The 21625-nt window shown below is 40.6% G+C and overlaps 1 protein-coding gene across 5 annotated transcripts in view; it reads left to right on the top strand.

Moving 5' to 3' along the window:
* JAZF1 (JAZF zinc finger 1) overlaps positions 1-21625 on the top strand; it is a 350219-nt gene that overhangs the window by 282967 nt on the left and 45627 nt on the right. For all 5 annotated transcript variants that reach the window (NM_175061.4, XM_047420026.1, XM_047420025.1 and 2 more), the window contains one exon: positions 2413-2609. In NM_175061.4, the coding sequence (NP_778231.2) occupies positions 2413-2609 (197 nt within the window). The remainder of the gene's footprint in view (positions 1-2412; positions 2610-21625) is intronic.

The raw sequence follows: 21625 nt of genomic DNA, 5'->3' as shown, positions 1-21625 counted from the left end.
GCAGGCACCCTTGCAGCAGTGCACGTGGGAGTCTGTTCAGGTGCAGAGAGGTAGGAGTGGAAGCTATCCTGGTAGAAGAGCCTCACGCCCCATAGGAGCCAAAGCTCTTGAAACACGCTCTGGGCATAGCTCCCCATTCTGTGCAAGGGCCATGCCCAGCTACAAGATCACCACGCTCGGGAAGTCCAAATCAGGATTCTTGGCTTCCTATCAGATAGCTACAGGTTCCTAGATCCTCCAGGCTGTGCAGTTCACCAGTCAGAGGTCATTCTTACGTAGATAGTGTTGCCTAGTAACATAGTTGACACACTCTTTTAGCAGGTTACCAAATGTAGCCAAAGATCAGACTCCCGTGTAGAAAGGGAAAAGACGTACGTTAATTCCTTACCTACTCTCATTCCCATTTTACAGAGAATAAACCTGAGATTCAGAGAAGTTTATCAACTTGCCTCAAATTACATAATAACCCAGCCAGGATTTGAACCCCGGCCTGACTCCAAATACCATGCTCTTAACTAAAATGCAAGATGTAAACATTTTTTTCTACCCCCATAAGCATGTCCGTGTTTATTTTGCTATTTGAAACACTAGTTTGAATTACTTAACCCTCGAGAACAATCGGCCTTCCTGGAAGCAGCAGCCTGTTTATCCTGTGGCTTTGCCACTCCCTGGCGCACTGCATACCCCAGTGTGAGAAGCTCAGCACCATGATAGTTAGCAGTTCTTCTTAGGATAATAAAAAAAAAAGCACTAGTTCTTTGCTTTTCTCTGTGAGTCTGTATTTTTAGTAGAGGTTTATGAGGCGGAGGGAAAGAAGTTTAAGGACAATAGAACCAGTTTTGCATCTGAAGATAAATGAGTACCTACCTGGCTACCAGGTGCAAACAATTCTCTTTTGCCTTGACATTCCTTTCTTCTTTTTAAATCATCACTATCCTATAGCACAAAACCTAAGAGCTCAAGGCAAAGCTTTATTACTAAGCTCAGTTCAGCATATAAAATCCAGTTTATATATCTGGATTATATTGCAAGAACCATTCAAGAAATGTGCCATCCATGTTCCAAGTATAAAAATAGAAATTTTAAGACAGCGTAACAGTATTACTGTTGTTTCATTGGGTGTTTAATTGACTTCAAGCTTTCGCCAGGTATTAGAACTATCTGTTGACTTCCAAAACTTCATTGTGTAGTGAGGAAAAATACTAAGGAATTTTGTAGACAAAATGTGAAATAGGTTAGGTGAAATACCATGTTTAAGTGCAATGCAGTGAGCTTATGATAAATTATATTGAAATAGTCAAAATATAATTGATGCGGGAGGTGTTGGAGAGAGGCCTTGGGGGGCATGGAATGTTCTGTTTCTTAGCCTAGGTGGTGGGGACAGCTGTGGTTTTATCATCTGAACGCTATCATACATTTATGGACTATGCTTTCTATGGCAATTTTCAAAAATGCAGCTGACAAAGTTTGCCTGCCAATATGAAAAGGTGAATGTTCTTTAGGTAGGAGATACCATTTCATAGATTGTTTTGAATCTCATATTACAGGAATTTACAAAATGGTAGATTATACAGTGAGAAAAGAACAAAGTTTGAATATTACCAACATCAGAGAAGCACTGGAAGAATAACTGAAGTTTCCAAAGTGAAACTATCAGGAAAAGTCACCTTTCTCTTTATGAGTAATAAAATTAGAACATAAACAAATCATCAGTGGTGACCTCCTTCCTTGTGCTGCTCTCTTCCCTTCTTCTGGAATCTTCCTGGGCAGATGTATGCAGTTCTGTCTGTGTTTCCTGAGGTGGGCCTGGCCCTGTGCTAGGAACTGGGGACTAGAATCCTTGCCTTCATGACTAGGGAAGCAAGGACTCAATTAGCCAAGAAAAGTTTTTAAACCCAAATAACAATATGAGAATCAAAGTAATACCAAAAAATTTAAAAAAAAAAGTTTTCATGAGGCCATTTATGTTAGATGGCAGTTAAGTGGTACAAAGAAGAAATACTGCCAACCTGCAGATAAAGGAAGCACTGTCTACTTAGGAGTGGTTGGGGAACTTTGAGGATGTGTGGGCTTCCTATGGGTAGAAAAAGAGAGCAGACCTTCCAAGAGAGGAAGTCTTGTAACTGAAAGTATTACAGTGGGTGCAGATGTATTCTGTGTGTATAAGCTTCCTGGCAAGGAGGATTTGCTGGGTAAGAAATGGACCTGACTTTGAGAAACCTTAAAAATAACAAGCTAGAAGATAATTCCATTGCATTGGAAAAGGGAAGCTGTTGTGAGTTTTTGAGATTGGGACTGACCTGTGGCCAAGGTCCTTTTCCAGGGTCGTGCATGTCTGAAACTCTAATAAATGTCATCAGTCCTCATGCTCTATACATGGCCCAGGTTCCTTACCTTCCATTATTGTTTCAGATTCATGACAGATGCTGCCCGCCGAGAGCAGGAGTCCCTAAAGAAGAAGATTCAGCCGAAGCTCTCGCTGACTCTGTCCAGCTCAGTGTCTCGAGGGAATGTGTCCACTCCCCCACGCCACAGCAGTGGAAGCCTTACTCCCCCCGTGACCCCACCCATCACCCCCTCCTCTTCATTCCGCAGCAGCACTCCGACAGGTGAGTGGCCTGGCCCTACCGCCTTGAGAAGGAGGAGAGGGGAGAAAGAGAAAGTGTGTGTGATGTGCTGGGGGCAGAAAGGGGCTGGGGACAGATGACGACACAGACCCACCACATCGTTGATCCTTTCACTAGTCTACATATTGATAAATTCTTTAATTTATTATTGAAGAAATATTTATAGATTATTGTTAATATGCATGTGATAATGGTTTTGTAGATTTTTTGTCAATATATTTCCCATTTTTACCATGCATACCCATCTACACAACATTTTTAATGGGCTCTGTAATACATATTTCATCACCCGATTTACAACTAAATATATTATGAACGTTTTCTCTTGTAAAACAGTTAAAATAATTGTATCCTTTAGAGAAAACATAATTTATTAAGCAGTCTTGGAGAAATTTAGATATAATTTTTCTTCCAAGGAGACTTCATTGTTTTTACAACACCTTGAGAAGAAGGGGGAGTCCTTGTCTTCTCCAGCTTTTTCTATAGATAGTGGAAACTTGCCCTTCAATTTAGCTTTTTCATTTGCTTCTTTATACCCACCTATTCACCAATCAAGTAATCCATTTTATTTTTCCCAGTCCATCTCTCCTATTTGCCTTCTCTTTCCCGTCAGTCTCCCTGACACACATGTGGATGTGCACTACTCCAGCACTCTCATCTGCTCTCCTCCAGGTCCTCGCCTTAAAGAGGCTTCTGTCCTTTTAAGGGTACCATCTTCATTGATTTGGATCAACTCTGCTCAAAACTTTATCCTCAGTTCCACATTAGGATTAGCCTATAATAATCTGAAGACAAAGTTCAGTTGTTTAAAAGAAAATATTAGTAAGAAAACCTTGGTAGACTTACATGTCTCAAGAAACTAGAACTTCAGCTGGGTGCTGTGGCTCACATGTATAATCACAGCACTTTGGGAGGCTGAGGCAGGAGGATCACCTGAGGCCAGGATTTCAAGACCAGCCTGGGCGAAATGGCATTTTGAATGCCTCACAAGTGCCAGAAACTGAGCTACTGAGGTGAGCAGAGAGAGGCCCCCTGCCCTGACCTCAGGAGCTTACACCTGTTGGAGGATATTGGCATTCTAGGGGCCAAACAAGATCACTCTTGTCTTCCTCTCCCAAGTGTGGAAATGATTAAAAAGTAAAATAGCAGTCATAGACGAAGAACAAAATATCAACTGTATTATTACATAAAGCTAAACCACAGAATGGAGCTTGGATCTGTAACAATTGGGCTTCCTAGTATGTCTTCCCAGAATTCAATTTATTTCCCAAAGTGCACTTCTCAGCTTACCCCAGGGTGGTAGCTGACCAGAGCGCACTCTGGACCCTGAGCAGAGCGTGCCCAGCCCTTCTTCCCTAGTTCATGCTTCATTAAGTCACTGTTCCTCCTTGGGCAGGAGTGAATAGAGATGGTGGAAGAGGTCCGCATGTTTGTGCTGTCTGAGAAACAGAGAAATAGCTCTCTTCCCCCAGTGGGAGTATAGACCGTCACTAATCAAATCAATACGCAAATAAATATAACCCTGTAATCATGACAAGTGCTATATAGAATTCTGTGATAGGAGGGCATCCGGAGAGAAGTTTGACCCAGTCAGGAAAGGCTTCCTTTGAAAGATAAATAGGAGTCAACTAAGTAAAGAGGAAAGGGGGAGCAATGTCACAAAGGGAACATTCTGCAAAGGCTCCATGGAGGGGGACAGCCTGGCAGGTCCCCATTACTGAAAGGCCAGGTGGCCCGAGTGTAAGATGAGACTGAGGAGGTAGGCGGGGACTAGGGCACTGGGGGTCTTATTCAAAATTTTGGTTGAATCGAAGAGCAAAGAGAACCCACTTGTAACCACACCATCATCTCCTTAGCCATGATTAAAATTATCTTCTCTGACAGTTTACGTATTTCTCTGTCATCCATTTTCCATTGTGCAAAGTGTGTTTCAGAATACTAACTTCACAAAATACTAGTTGGGGAAAAGGGATTTCCTAGTAAGTTTGGGGAGATGATGAGTTAGACAAAGTTAAATGGATTTCTTTAATTCGGGGCTTTAATATGCACTGTTAGTCTCCAAGGGGAGGATTTAGTAAATTTCCCAAACTTAGTTGCTCTGATTAGGGGACCTCTTTCTTTATGGGGCATCTCAGGGGACTCATGGTTGACAGACACCGTGTGTTCAATCAGGATTGAACATTTTGAAGACAGATTAGGTATGGGAGATAAACCAGAGTTGCTGCCTTAACTTCTTTCTTTACAAATGGTGTCACCTTGGGCAAGTCACTAATACCCATTATATAGATTTTTTGTCAAAGTTAAATGTGATAGCACATGTATAACACAGTGCTCAATAAATGTTCATTTCTTTCATCTGGGGTTTTCAACTTTGTATTTTAGGAACAGAATCAAGGTCATGCTTCTAGAGGACAAACCAGTTCATTTGTGTTAGGCATTTGTCCATTTCCTTGAATAGACCACCATGTTTCCCTTATATTTTATTTTGTGAAGATTGACTTTCCAGGATCTTTTTGTAACATTTATGTTGTAAATCTAAGGAATGAAAGAGAGTGTAGTGTAATTCCGCAATCCTCTTTTCTGGGTATTGCTATGATACTTATTCACATATAATATGAATTATGGGAACAGTTTCCCATTGGCTGTGTTTTATACCTGAAGTAATATGGACTGACTCATGTCCAACCCCAGATAACTGTGACTGCCCCAATTAGTGACGGGTGCCTAGGACCCCATGAAAATAAAGACAGTTTAAAAGTGAGAGTTTATTATTTTTCATGTAAGAATGTTTGGAAGAAATGGAATCATTTCCCTTCCTTCAGACATAAAGAAATCTTTCTGACACCTTGCCTATTTTAGCAATTTCCCATTGAGAGAATTAATTTATGTTGTGGTAAAGATGTATCATTTTCAGTCTGTCAAGATTATTGGTAAGTTATTTGCTGCTGTAAGAACATTCCATGTAAACATCAAAAATTAGCAGGGGAAATGGTTTCTTAAACCCCTACCACGTACAATTTTGATTGTGTACATTTTTCAATGTTTGGAATGTTATTTTACCTGTAGTTAGAGAGATCAGCTTATTTTGCCTGACTAATGTGGTTTCAGTCACTTTCATTGCCAGGTTATAAAATTCCACATTTCTACCCCTTAAATTCACTCTTGCAAGTTCTATATTCATGGTGCATTCCCACTTCAGAAGTAATAGTCATCTTGTAGGAACTTCATTTATAAAATGTTCTTTAAGGTATACTTTCTTGACAATACTGAATTAGAGCTCAGCTTTATCCTAAAGTTTCGAGTATTTCTTAGGTATAGTTGGAATCAATGTTTGTTTTGCAATTTTTTTTCTTTTCTGTTTGAAACAGGGTCTTACTGTATCACTCTATCACCTAGGCTGGAGTGCAGTGATGCTATCATAGCTCACTGCAGCCTCAAACTCCTGGGCTCAGCCTCCTGTGTAGCTCACGTCAGCCTCCTGTGTAGCTGGGACTACAGGCACATGCCACAATGCCCACTTAATTTTTTGACTTTTTTTGTAGAGATGAGGTCTTGCTATGTTGCCCAGGCTGGTCTTGAACTCTTGGCCTCAAGCAATCCTCCTGCCTCTGCCTCCCAAAACTCTGTGATTACAGGCAGGGGCCACCATATATGGCCTGTTTTGCCATTTTTACATCCTAGAAGAATCTTTTTCTCTCATTGTTTTCCTTTCCTATCCTTGTCTTTTTTTCTTTTAATATATAGAAAAAGTATTCATTTAAGAAAAGCTTAGAATAGTTTAAATCATAGATCAGCAAACTTTTTCTATAAAGGTCCATATAGTAAATATGCTTTGCAGGCCACAGGGTCTCTGTTTCAGCTACTCAACTTTGCCATTGTAATGTGCAAGCAGCTATAGAACCACCTAAATTAATGGGCATGTTGTGTTTTATTAAAAGTTTTTCTAAAACTTTATGTACAAAAACAGGCCAGAGTTGGCCCATAGGCCACAGTTTTCCAACCCCTGGTTTACATAATAGAGAAATGGAATTGAAAAATAAATGTGATTAAATTATCTGAAAATAAAGTGTTAAGATAATTCATACCCTTCTCCTTTTAAAAGTAGTAACATGGGCCAGGCACGGTCGCTCACGCCTGTAATCCCAGCACTTTGGGAGGCAGAGGCAGGCGAATCACTTGAGGTCAGGAGTTCGAGATGAGCCTGGCCAACATGGTGAAACCCCATCTCTACCAAAAATATAAAGATTTGCCAAGTGTGGTGGCTCACGCCTGTAATCCCAGCTACTTGGGAGGTTGAGGCAGGAGAATTGCTTGAACCTGGGAGGTGGAGGTTGCGGTGAGCCGAGATTGCACCACTGCACTACAGCCTGGGTGACAGAGCAAGACTTCATCTCAAAAAAAAAAAAAAAAAAAAAAAGTAGTAACATCTAAAGTACAATTACTTAGAGGGAAAGGCAAGTAGCACTTGTGGAGTGTTTGCTGTGTGTGCTTACTGTATTCTTTATGTATGACATTGTATTTAATCTTAACACCAGCCTCACTGAGACATTATTATTCCCATGTACAGATAAGAAATAGAGGCTTACTAAGGTTAACTTGACACATCCATGTCTGTCTATTCAAAGAATAAGCTCTTTCCAGTATACCCACACTTTCTATCCACATTCATTATTATTACATTAATACTTTTTTTAAACTTTATTATACCATCCACACTGTGTGTGAACTTGACACCTCCAAACTCAAAATATGTTAAGTTACTGAAACCTTGGTTTGACTTCATTCACTGTAACTTTCATTTTCACACAGCTCTACCATTCAAACAGCATGTCATAACAGAAGGACTTAACAGTTTCATTCAGCCAGGGTTTCTCTAAGGGTCAGCTGACTCCAGATAGCCGGTTGTTAAATAATCAGGTTTGCAAGCTGTTTGCTAAACTGTTACCTTGAAATCAGCCATGGTGGGAGTATTTACACCAGTGACATTGGCAAATGCTACATATCAGGACCTTCCCTGCCCCACTTTACCATTATACCACTGTTTTTTCCTTTCAGTATTTACCAGATTAATCTTACTTAGTTTGTAGGTCAAGGAATCGTGGATCCATGTGTCTGCAAATAAACCTAAAGTCAATCACCAATAAATAAATAATGACCATTTCAAGCAATGGACTGCTTTGTAGGCACTAACCACAATTATCTTGTTACACGAGAAAATCCAGTTTCAAAACTGCATAAGCAATATGATCTCAATTTTTTTTTTTTTTTTGAGAGAAAGTCTCACTCTATCACTCAGGCTGGAGTGCAGTGGTGTGATCTCAGCTCACTGCAACCTCCACCTTTCAGGTTCAAGAGATTCTCTGACCTCTGCCTCCCAAGTAGCTGGGAATACAGGTGCGCATCAACACCACCCAGCTAATTTTTGTATTTTTAGTAGAGGTGGGTTTTTGCCATATTGGCCAGGCTGGTCTTGAACTCCTGACCTCTAGTGATCCTCCTGCCTCAGCCTCCCAAGGTGCTGGGATTACAGGCGTGAGCCACCGCACCTGGCCCATGATCTCAATTTTATCTTTTATTTAAGAGAAGTTAACCATGGTTAACTACCTTAATATGATAGGAAGATGAATATTATTTTCTTCTTTTTCTTTTCCCATATTTTCTAAAATGAGTTTGTCTTTCTTTTTATAATTAAAACAACTTAGGACATATGATTGGAAGATATAGAATTACTGGCCCTAAAAAGAGTTGAATGGATCTCTTTCCATCAAATTAATTGACCTTTGACGTGGGATCATCCTATAGCAAAGGCCTTTTTGCTTTTGCATCCATCATTAGAGAGCAGGTTGTCTTGGTTATTATTGCCTACAGCTTAGTTAAGAAAGTAATTTCTCCCCCCTCCCCCCATATTTCCCCATTGAACCTCTGAAAACAGTGATTTTCGATCAGGATGAACGTTGAAATCACCTGGAAAAAATTTTAATCTACCTCTGCCTGGGCTCCACCCACAGCCACTCTGATTCAGCTGGTGGGTGGGGCTTGGGCATTGGGAGTTTTTAAAAGCTCTTTTGGGTGGGTAGTTCTACAACCAGAGTTAAGAAACCACTGTTTTAAAACATGGCCCATCTCATTGTAGTATCTATGTGCCTTCTAGCTTGAATTTTGAACATATTCCACGTTGTCTGGAGAAAGATTACTGTAATCCGTTTCCTTGACCTCCGGGATGAATCCAGTGGGACTGACAGATGCTCACTCATGTCTTAATGGAGAAGCCATGGAAAGAGCTGGCTGGGTTTCTGGTTCTAATAGCATCGCATAGTTACTCCTGGAAAATATTTGTATATATATTTTGGCGCACTCTGGGGGGGAAAATTCAAGTATTAAACCAGAGAAAGGCACCCAAGGAAATTAAACCAATTTTTAGGTTTTCTTGTTTAGATTCTTAATATAAAATTTAAGCTTCTGCATTGTTTTATTTTACTTCATATTCCTGTGTATCTTGGTATGGCCTTTTAAGAAACATTTCTTTATGGCTTTTACAATAAATTGTTCAGATTATAAAGTTATTGAAAATTTCAGGAGTTATTAATACACAGCAAATTATTTTAAATAATATAGTATTTTTCCCTTGGGGTGGACATTTCTCTGCAATACAGACTTACAGGACTGATAGAATTTTGCTTGGCATTTAGAAGCTCTATCTGAATGGAGTTGAGGTGAGCTCTTCCCTCATGCCTTTATTGTTAGAAAGCAAAATAAACTTAAATAGGCTTAGTAAGGACAAAAAATCCCAGACAGAAAAAAGATAACCAAAATAAAGTATAAACTAACATACATCTCCCACCTACGCAAAAGAAAAGAACAAAATGGAAGGAAAAATCTCAGAGAGAGAAATACTATTCTGTTTAATAGTGGAAAATGAGGGGAGAAAGGTGAAATTCTTCAGCCTGACTGAATTTTGTGATATGAATTCCTGAGGCTGTGATTTGGTTTTTCTAACAAATTCTCCCTAAAGAGTTGGATGTCTGCATGATACCTAAGCAACGTTCCCTAAAATCTTCGTATTGATCTGATTTACATTTCCCTTTTCACATAAATACCCGCTTTTGTAGCTGGAGAATGAGAAGATGTTGCTATATTCTCCGCCTGTGTTCTGTAGGTCACTGAAAGACCCTTTCCTGGCCTACAGTTTATTTGCTTGTTTATATACTACTCTGTTCTAATCCTTGTCTCTTCCTCTTCCTTTTTGATTGACTAGTAAAAACCTTTATTCCTCTGCCTGAGTGTCATGGTCGAGTCTTATGGCTAATTCTGCTTCCCCAGCATCTTCTGCAGCCACTTATTTTTAATCTCTTCTTGCTACTGAAAATGTTGGAGTGAGGATGGCAACAAGGAAATAGGATTTTATTTGTTTTTCCACAGCTATACCACTTAGAAAAAAACCTTCCCAAACAAAACATTTTTTTGACTTGAAGAAAACAATCAAATTGGCCAGGCACAGTGGTTCACGCCTGTAATCCCAGCACTTTGGGAGTCCAAGACGGACAGATCCCCTGAGGTCAGGAGTTCGAGACCAGCCTGGCAAACATGGCAAAACCCCATCTCTACTAAAAATACAAAAATTAGCCAGGCATGTTGGTGCGCACCTGTAATCCCAGCTACTTGGGAGGCTGAGGCATGAGAATCAGTTGGACCTGGGAGGCAGAGGTTGTAGTGAGCCAAGATTGCTCCACTGCACTCCAGGCTGGGTAACAGAGTGATACTTCATCTCAAATAAATAAATAAATAAATAAATACAAATCAGTGGTGATCTGTAATCATAATAGATCTTTTTCTAACCTTATAGTGCACAACAGCATTCACATTCACCATCTAATTTGATCCTTGTTAATACTTGATGGGACACAAGGCAAGTATTATTAACTTTTATTTTAAGTCCAGGGTACAAATGCAGGTTTCTTATATAGGTAAACTTGTGTCATGGGGGTTTATTGTCCAGATTATTTCATCGCCCAGGTATTAACCCTAGTACCCATTAATTATTTTTCCTGATCCTCTCCCTCCTCCCACCCTTTACCCTCCACCCTCCGAAAGGCCCCAGTATGTATAATTTCCCGTATGTGTCCATGTATTCTCATCATTTAGCTCTTTCTCATCATTTGGCTCCCACTTATAAGTAAGAACATGCAGTATTTGGTTTTCTGTTCCTGTGTTAGCTTCCTAAGGATGATGGCCTCCAGCTCCATTCAAGTCCCTGCAAAGTACATGATCTCATTCTTTTTTATGGCTGCATAGTATGCCATGGTGTATACGTACCACATTTTCTTTATCCAGTCTATCATTGATGGGCATCTGGGTTGATTCCATGTCTTTGCTATCGTGAATAGTGCTGCAATGAACATTTATCTGAGCATCTATCTTGTTATAAGGCACTGTGCCAAGTATTGGGGATACAGAAAAGCATAAGGCATAGCCTTTGTGGTTTAGAACTTACATCCCTTAATAGAAGCAGGCAACATATGCTTGTGGAACAGACAACTAATGAACATGATGTATACACACATGGGCTACATTAGCACAGATGATTAATAAGACAATATAGAGATACACATGGGGTCATTCTACGCTGTTTCAATGCAATTAAAAGATGTATATTCACACCCATAAAATGTCATAGATAATTGCAAGGCAAATGTAAGTTCCAAAGGAGTTGGAATAAGGTGAGATCATAGGGAAAGTGATTTGGGCAAACAATTTTATAGTCCATGATTATGGAATGTGTCAGGTTAGGGAATTAGTGAGCAGACCTGGATGTGTTGACTAAAGGTGGTATGCAAATCTAGAGTTTTCTGGGAGACCCTCCAGAACTCTGGGAGCACAGAAGTAAAGTGCTAAGAGTCCTTGACACCAAAGGGGTCTCGATCCAATTCTTGGTTCTGCTGCTTGAGAGACAGATGGACTTAAACCTTCTCAAGCCTCAGTTTCCTCATCTGTGTAATGGAGGCAGTGTTTACTTTACTGTGAGGATTAATAAAATAAGGATAGGGCCAGGAACAACTGCTGTGTTTACACTGATTCTACTTAAACCACCAGTTCAGAAAATAAATCAGCATAGGAATATCCCCGCTCTGCTTTCAAGATACCCTGCATTAGTAAATAAGCCCCATGTGTTCAGGAAGTGTTGACTGTCAATGGTGGAAATGGCTTATGTTGTCAGGTTAGTTAGGGCTTCTAGAAATAGCTATATAGCACATGTAAATCAAAACATTTTTTGCTCTAAGCTGAATCCAGCCTTTTTGGGCAGACAATATTTCACCAGCCCTGGCGAGGGCTGCTTGTGCATGTTTATTTTTGGTCTGCACTAACCTCAGAGAAGGCTGATTCCAGGAATGTGCATTACAGGTGGTATTTGCTAATGACTGCTCTGGACATGGATAAATTTTCAGGAAGGAGATGGGGTCATTTTCTTGTCAGAATGGATACAAACACTATATCTAAAGTGTCTGTGGGACCAAAGGAAAAAAAAAATGGAAGTTGGACTTCGGCAACACTAAAGAAGTGTGTGCTTTAAAGGACACTATCAAGAAATTGCGACAACAATCAGAATAGGTGAAAATATTTGCAAGCCATGTGTCTGATAAAGGCCTCATATCTAGAATACGTACGGAACTCCTACAATTCAACAATGAAAGGACAACCCAATTTAGAAATGGGGGGAAATGACACTGTTGTTATTAACACAGAAGCATTTAAGATTATCATTTTATAGCCAGGGGTGGCAGAAGTGAAGATGGAGCAAGTTGACCAATTTTTATATCCTGGTTGTTATTTTAGTAAAGGTAGCAATAACCCTTTTAAATGTGGAGACTCAGAGTACTAAGAAACAGAGCACTGGATGTTTCCAGCAGGTGAACACACTGGTGAAGGAGCTCTGTCCCCTTTCTTGTTGAAGGATGTGCCCACATAGGCCCAGCCATCATCACAGTTGGGAATGGGGGGACACCCCTTTGTGCTATCCAATTTGGGGTACTTTTACATTTCAGATTCCCTTTAAGGTGTGTAGAATTGAACATCCCACTGGTAATATTTAAATCAAGGTCAGGGGGCCATGTAAAGGGCATCTCAAAGTCTTTAGAACCGGGGGAGTTTTGACTATAGTGTCTCTGAAACTCCCTCCCCTCCTTCCTGTGCAGAGCAGAGAATGTCCTCAAACCTGCTCTGAGGGGAGAGGGGAGCAGATCTCATTATCCCTCCGCCCGGCAGAGAGAGTGAAACTGACAGAGGTGTGATATAGGTTCCTCGGGGCCACAGAGCTGAGTGATGTTGACCCAGCACTTCCACTCTAGGTATTTACCAAAGAGGAGTGAAAACATGTATCCACAAAAGACGGATACAAGGATGTATATAGCACCTTTATTCACAGTAGCCCCAAAATGATAAGTAGTTCATCCACAGATAAATGGGTAAACTGTGATATATCCAGACAGTGGAGTATAATTTAGCAATAAAAAGAAAGTACTGATACACACACAACAAATGGATGAATCTCAAAAACATTATGCTGAGCAAGTTAAGCCTGACACAAAGGGTACTCATGAAGTTCAAGTACAGGCAAACCAACCTGCAGTGACAGAAATCAGTACCATAGTTAACTTGAGTATGTGAGGAGGAAGGTGTGGACAAGGGAACTTTCTTGAGTGATGGATATATTCTGTGTCTTGATTGGGATGTTGGTTTCACAAATGTATACATTTATCAAGCTCATCCAATTATATACCTGCCCGATGCAGTGGCCCACACCTGTTATCCCAGCACGGGAGGCTGAGGTGGGAGAATTAGTCGAGCCCAGGAGTTTGAGACCAACCTGGTCATCATAGTGAGACCTGGTCTCTACGAAAATCAAAAAATTAGCTGGGTGTGGTGGCACATGCCTGTAGTCCCAGTTACTCGGGGCTGAGGCAGGGAGGATGGCTTGAGTCCAGGAGGTCGCAGCTGCAGTGAGCTGTGATTGGGTGACAGAGTGAGACCCTGTCTCAGAAAAAAACAAGCATGCACTTAAGATTTGTGCATTTCAGTGTGTGTAAATCTTACCTTAATTGAAACAAAAGAGTGGTTGCTCAGGCAGGAATGAAGAACAGGAGTCCACAACTTCCAGTCACTCTTTGAACTAGCAAATAGCATTTCCGCTCTTATAAACAATTCATTTAGGAACAATGAAGTAAATACATGCAGTAGTTTGAGTTTGAAAATCTCTGGAATTTCCTGTTCATTGAAGAAAGACAGTAGGCGGAATTCTTCATCCTTAGCATGGCAACACTAAGGAAGCAGTAACATGGACAAATAAACCAGTTACGGGACATATTAAGTAGAGAGAAGGAGCAGAGAAGAAAAGATAAAGAAGGGCTGTTGCCAAACTCTCAGTCCAGTGACACAGTTGAGAATTGGTTAATGACTGAAAGTGTTTCTGATAGAACTTACAGCACCTACGTCTTCCAATACCCAAAGTGTTTTGTTTCCCATGAGATAAAGAGTGCTTCCTTACATTGAGAATATTACCAGAAAGAAAATTAAAGCCGCCCAGGTTCAGTCCATGTTGAGCACATCCTCAGAAACTCTAAGTAGTCCAGTTTCTCTGACGGGCAGGCACTTAAATCCTCAGATTTAATATCTGTACTAACAGAAAGCCAATAATTCAGTGTTTCTGTGTTATTTTTTATAATGTTCATGCAAAGTGATCCTATACCACACTTGACCATTTACATTTAGTTAAAAACCTGAATTTCATCTCTACTATTAACTGTGTTGTTTAATCAAACTCAATAAAAATAGTATGTCCACTGTTAAGAATTCCCATAAGAAATCTCAAAGGTCTTTACAGCCATATTTCACTTCGTGCTAGAAACACGGTTAGTGGTGAGGCATTGGTCCTAGGTCCTAGCTGCTTTTTCTTTGTCCCAGCAGGGGTCTCTGCATTGGCCAAAAAAATATCAAAAAAGATCACAAGGTAAAGTTGTTTTAAAGAGCACACATTAAGACTGTGCTGTTCACACCCTGTCTCCCCAAGAAAGAATGCCATCTTTTTAAGCCAACGTCCAGAGCTCACTCATATGCCAACATCCATCAGTGCACACTTCTCAGTAATTTTCCTTTGGAAGCACAAACCAGAACTGAAATATGAGTGCTAAAGAGAGCAACATATTGTAAGCCTGGAAAATGGTGTGGATTCTACTGAAAATATGAATAAACAAACAGACGCCCGAGACTGCCATACACCTCCCTTGTGAAGGTGATGTAGATTTAGCACCTGAAGAATTCACAGCCCAGACAAACTCATATATTTCCAAAGACACCTTTTCTCCACACCCCCGTCCCTGCCACCACCAGTCTAAAACACGGCATATTAAAATCAGAGAAGCCCTTTCATCTTCATGAGTATCACGGCGGCAAACTTGTTTTAATGTCTTTTCCATGTGGCTCAAGTTTTAACAATAAAATGATCCCCAGGCACACCCAGCTGCACAGCATTAAAGAACCTGCAGAAAACTGAGAATGCTTTAAGCTAATTTGTTTTTGCTAAAAAGACAAGGGACAGAATCTCACTGCTCCTGTCCCAGGACTTGTGTCAGATGTTGGAAATGCACTCAGAACAAGTGGTATTTGACAGGCAGGAAGAAACTGAAGTTGCTAGAACCTTTCTGGGACCATGGACAAAGAGATTGTGCATGTCTGGCACCTTGCAACCAAAATTACATAGTTCCTCCTTGGAAAATTGGACTGGTGTTAATTCATATTTAGCTGTAACAAGTTGGGTTGATCTTATCAGATCAAAGATTTATTTCATATTCCACTAGGCTGAATAAGTTTTTGTTTTTTGTTTTTTTGTTTAAAAAAAAAAAACAAGCCAATTAGGCTCTGCTTGGTATGGAACACATAGGTAAAATCAACCATAAGAAACTAAAGTTGGTTGGGGGACAACTGTATATGAATTTGACATCTACTGATCTCATGATGTACTGTGTTTTCTATCTCAGTACCCCAATTCTTCAGTTTTATTTTAAGGCAGCCAGAGTATTCTAAGTAGTTACAGGCCCCAGGACAAATCATTCTCAGGGAGCCTGAATAATTTTGAATGAATTAGTCGGTCCCTGACATTGTCTACCAACTAAGATGTTTCCTTACAGCCTGAGACTGGATGCATTTTTTATTTTTCACATAGATTCCTATTTCAAAATTACCAAAATTTTTAAATAAAAAATAAAAGTCAAGCAGACTTCTTTCTGGCAAATGAAGTGGTGCTTTTCATGTGATCTGTTTTCATGTGAGCTCTCTAAGATAAGCTGTGTCACTGTATAGTTAAAAGTCTCATCAGAATGTTTGACTTGAAAATGGCTGCCTAGAGTCTTAAATTCAGGGGTGGAAAGGCCCTCGATATGCATTTCTGTTGGTGCATCCTCAGCTCTCCTCCTCTAGACAGAACTGTCTGGGGTTATCCAGGCTGAACTAACAGTGTGCTAACAGTTACGGGGACTGATGCTGGGCCATCAATGTAGGATGGTGTTTTTGAGACATGATCGTGACTCCCATATCTTGAGCAGGCCCCCACCCTTTTAAATGGTTACTTTCTAATATTCCACCAAGTTCTGGACCATTATTGTGTTGAAAGTCTCCCTGAAATTCACCATGATGAAGTTAGTTTTGGCAGAGCACTTAGATGCTATGAATGGTATTTCACTGCCATTAAAAGGAAGCATTCTTTGAAAAAAGTGTTTAATTAAAGCCACTTGGTTTCTGTAATACCAGTATATATAATTTATGCTATGTTGCGTGTAAAGGAAAATTAAGACTAACAAAACTTGACAAATGGTTAATATTTAAAAGCATGCAATTAAAATGTCACAACTTAGTTGTGAGTGAGCTACCAAGGGGATCTTGACTGGAGTTGGTTCTGAAGGGCTAGATGGGCTACTGCCACCACCTGTGGGCCATGCACCTTAATCTGGAAGGGTTCCCCATGCCCCCTCCCCGGGAGATGAATAGGCCCCTTTTGGAAACTAAAACCATAAAATTATGAAGTAACTGCAAATATAAAAATTGGCTTTTTCTTTAAATCAAAGAAAAATGAGACCATTTCTGGAATAACTGTATAATAAATATGCATTACAGAAACATAAATAAACCTTTGGTAACTAATACGCAGTACTTGCCAAGTAAATAGTAAATTAAAAGTTCAGGCCAGGCACAGTGGCTCACGCCTATAATCCCAACAATTTGGGAGGCCAAGGCAGGTGAGGCCTGAGGCACTTGAGCCCAGGAGTTCAGGACCAGCCACGGTAACACAGGGGGACCCTGTCTCTGCAAATAACTGTTTTTAAATTAGCCAGGTGCAGTGGCATGTGCCTGTGGTCCTAGCTACTCAGGAGGCTGAGGCAGGAGGATCACCTGAGCCTGGGAGATTGAGGCTGCAGTGAGCCTAGATTGCACCACTGCACTTCAGCCTGGGCAACAGAGCAAGACCCTGTCTCAAAACAAAGCAAAGTTTAGTAAAATCTAGTTAACCTTTCCCCACCATCCCCCGAGATGGAGTCTTGCTGTTACCCAGGCTGGAGTGCGGTGGCATGATCTCGGCTCACTGCAACCTCTGTCTCTCGGGTTCAAGCAATTCTCCTGCCTCAGCCTCCCGAGTAGCTGGGATTACAGGCACCCGCCACCGCGCCTGGCTAATTTTTGTGTTTTTAGTAGAGACACGGTTTCACCATGTTGGCCAGACTGGTCTCAAACTCCTGACCTCGTGATCCGCCCACCTCACCCTCCCAAAGTGCTGGGATTACAGGCATGAGCCACTGTGCCCAGCTAGTTAACACATTTGTAAGTAATCTATAGGGCTCTGTTTTCTAAAATGAATAAGTAATAAATATTCCAAAAAGGATTTTTTTTCCTTCCCTTTTTTGCTTTCCAACAAATATGTGTTTCTTGGCATCGTCAAAAATGGAAGTTTTGCCAGGACTAGAAAGCTTGTCCTTTGCCATGTGGGAGACCTTTAGCTAAAGCTATAAATGTGGCACACTGATGAACATTGTCATTTTAATTCTGTCAAGCAAGGAGGGTAAACTGGAAAATGAATTATGCTATATATAAACTTGAAAGTAGCTCCATCTTCGTGGTAGCTGTGCCTCTTAAAAATAGCATCTAACAGCCTCCTAGAATTTGTATTTACTGTGTGTTTTCTATTATATAATAGTATATTTTGGAAAGATGGCAGGACTGAAAAGTGAATGGATGTGTTCTCAGTACATTTTGCCTCTTTTGTTATCTTCCAGAAGATGGCAATTTGTGGCTCCTTCAGAGTGTTCGCAGGTTCTTGTCTGTAGTGTTCTGAGTGGTCTGAATTTATTAACCTAATAAACCATATTGTTACTTAGATGCCAAATTAATATTTTTTCATTGGTTCCTCTCATTCAAGTATATTTTCTAAGATATTAAATAAATGTACTTTTAGTATCTTTTCTAAGATACTAAATGTAGGATGGTGTTTTTGAGGCGTGATCATGACCCTATATCTTGAGCAGGCCCCACCCTTTTAAATGGTTACTTTCTAATATTCCACCAAGTTTTAGACCATTATTGTGTTGAAAGTCTCCCTAAAATTCACCATGATGAAGTTAGATACTAAATGATACTAACTCATTAAGTATCTTAGAGAAGATACTAAAGCGTATCAGTTCTGCATACCTGTTCATTGTTGTCTTATAAGAAGTCATTTCCCTCTCTGTTCATGATGCTTGCAAACTGGAGCTCAGGTGATAGGAGCATGGTGTTAATAAGTCTGAGGTCATGGGTTTAATTCTCATGTGGGCCAGTTGACTTAGCTTCATCCTGGCGCCATGAACCATGCCCTTGAAGCTAGCTAAATGTCAAACAACAGGTAATGTGGTCCCTTGACTCTCAGAAAAGAGAGGATGCTTGATATGAAGAAATGGAACATACACATAGGACAAATCACATTCTCAAAGATTGGCCTTACCCTCAAGGTCAGTGTGAAAATATCATGGTTATGAGAAAACAACTAAAATGCGTGTCTTACTGCATATGTTTTGGAAATAAAAGAATTACAGGTTTCAGAGACTCCTGAGAGTTCTGTGTTAAGATCTCTGGCCTCCATCTATGCATTGACAGAGTAGCAGCATTGCTGTAACATGTTGTTGATCTTCCTGTTCATCTTTTGTGTTCGGTACAAATGTCCTCAGAATATTCAAAAGAATGGAAAACAGATCAACAAAAATAATAATGTATGTCTTAAAAATGGGGAAGCTGCAAACCATTTCAGTAGTTGTTGCCTGGTAAGAACAGGGATTCTAGTGACATGAACGGAAGGGGGCTGTTTCCACCTACTGCTCTCTTTTAAAATGATAGTCAAAGAGGCCAGAGAGTGACTCCATTCCCTATTCCACCACTTAGATGAGAATTCTTGGGAGAATGGCAGGTGAGGCAATGGCTTCATTATGGAAGTTGTCATTCCTTAACACTCCTAAATTTACAAAATGCGTTACTGCCCCGAACTCCTCCCGATTAAAGAAAACAAAGAAGGAAAAACACTATGGCATGAAATAGCATCAGATCTTTACATATATGGAATTTGGGAACCAGAAATTTATGCAGAGATCATCTTGGATACTTTTTTCAAACTGAAGTCACATCTCATTGATGGGTCATGAAATTAATTGGTAAGATATAACCAGCATTTTAGAAAGACAAGAAAAAAACAGAAAATAGAGTGTTTCACACTCCATAAGGATAAGTATTACCTGGGGAAATGGGGTGTGTGTGTGTGTGTTAGATGTTTTCTGAGTTGTAATGTAAAATATATTTTTCAATGGATCATGGTCAAAAAATTTGGAAGGCTACAAGTGATCTAGGCTCATCTCTTCATAAGTGTAGAGTCAAGGACATGTAGCTAAATTGCATAAAACAGTACCACAGTCCAAGCTTCTTGATTCCCACTGTAGTGCTTATTCCTCTCAGTCACATTCCAGCCACTACAAAACAGCAAGTGTGTTTCCATAATCACACTGCATCATGTTCGTAGTTCACTCCTGAGACCCCATCGAGCCATAGCTATATAATTCCCTCTGGGCCTGCAGACCCTGGAACACTTGCAGACTCGGCATCAACAGAATGCATACAGAGTCCATGTCTGGAGCATAACCACAGAGAGGAAGAAAAATGCTTTTTTAAAATATGGCTTCTTTTGTAGATGGTCCCCCTTTGCATACTTAAGTTATTCCATCTTAGGTGTGAAGCACTTAGTGTGCAAGACAATCATAGGGCCATCAGGGTGAAATGCAGGTGGAGAAGGTGCCACACCCTGATGAACTCAACAGGAAGAAGAAACTGCATCCCCACAAATAACGTAGACGTGAAAAAACCACGTCTGTGTAAGTGTGAGATCATCTGAGAGCACGTATGGCAAGGAAAGCCACTGCGCAGGGCTGGTCTCCAAGGGCTTCTTGGAGAAGATGCTGACTTGCCAGAATGGGTTTTGCATTTGGATATGAGACTCGGGAGCACAGGCTGACATCCCTGCACAGAGGCCACTTGTCAGCTGACCAGAACCCAAGGCTTTCTAGACAGGTGTTTTCTCTTGGCTCAGTCCTAGGGTAGGTGAAAGTTATTTCTTCCCCATATTGAAGGAACACATACAACCACCTACCTCTATTGGCCCTGTAAAACCTGAGGTGAAAATAGTTGTGAGTTCCTCTGGGTTTTAAAACTATGACTTGCTGACATTTGGGGGAGCATTTTACCCCATACCCCGTTCAGACCGTTATACCTTTCCATGTTCGCTTCCAAAGATCTGAAGCTGCTGAGAAAGCTGAAAATGTTTTATGTAGAAAATATACAACAAAAAAAAGTTTGGTATTTCCATATTTCTCAGAGAAGGCTTGACCTCTCATTCGGAGCCATGGGCAGGCTTCATTTTTTGTTCTCCACCATTACCTCGAGTTGTGTTTTTCGCTAGCTCTCTCGTTCCCCTTTCCTGTCCTTGCTTTGACGGAAGAAAATAAACGTGGTCGGTGATAAAGCTGGGGATGCTGGCTTTCCAGCAGCGGCCTCTGCCAAAGTCTAGCGCCCTCTCGGTAGCCTGCCCTTCTGAATGCTAATTAGTTGTATGGGAATTTTTCACAGTAACCTCCCCAAGGAGCAATTTCACCAAAGAGTAACCCTCTTGTCTAGACCATACAACCCCATAAAGTCATCTCTAGCTGGGATTTCCAAGCTACAAAGCAGCAATAGAAAAGACTGCCTCTAGTCTTTAAGGGCATTCAAGTATAGAGCGCTCATTGTGGAAACCCACCAGTGCACAGACCTCTCTCCAGGGAGAGTAATGGAAACTCTCCCGCCCAGTTCCATCCTCTGAGGAAGGACACTCAGCTCATGATTTCTGCTTTATTTGAATCCAAATGATCTTGCCATCACCTTGCGTTTTATACCTAGTCTGCTATCCGGGATCTTATTTTTGAGAAAGATCCAGCCATGCCTTTTACTTTCTTGCTTGCCAAAGCTAATTATTAATTAGTGAGATAAAAGCAGTTTAATACTTGACATTTTAAGAAACTAGGCTGGCAAAACTTACCTAGAGAGAGATTAAAAGGATTCAGAATTCTAATCCAGGCCTCTTTCTGCTTTAAGTACTTAGCAAAATCCTAGCAGTTGTGATAACGGTGGTGTTAATGGGACTGGAAAATGGAAACGTGCACTCTGGAGGGAGAAGGGCAGAAAGGGATGGTATGCCCCTCGAGGTCCTATCAGATGCTCTCCCAAGAGTCAAGGTGGAAACAGATGACCAAAGCTATTCTAGAGTCCAGTAGAGTTGACTTTTCAGAAATACCAAAAATCAAGATTACCTAAAGAGGAAAACAAATCAGGAATTATGCTGTATTAGATAAAACAGTTCTGGAAGCAGGTTGAAGAGAGACCCTCTGTCCCTTCCACCCCACCTTGGC

The sequence above is a fragment of the Homo sapiens genome, chromosome 7 (genome assembly GCF_000001405.40).
Source record: "Homo sapiens chromosome 7, GRCh38.p14 Primary Assembly".
Taxonomy (NCBI): Eukaryota; Metazoa; Chordata; class Mammalia; order Primates; family Hominidae; genus Homo; species Homo sapiens.
The sequence above is the reverse complement of the archived record's forward strand: the minus strand, read 5'-3'. Positions and strand labels throughout refer to the sequence as shown.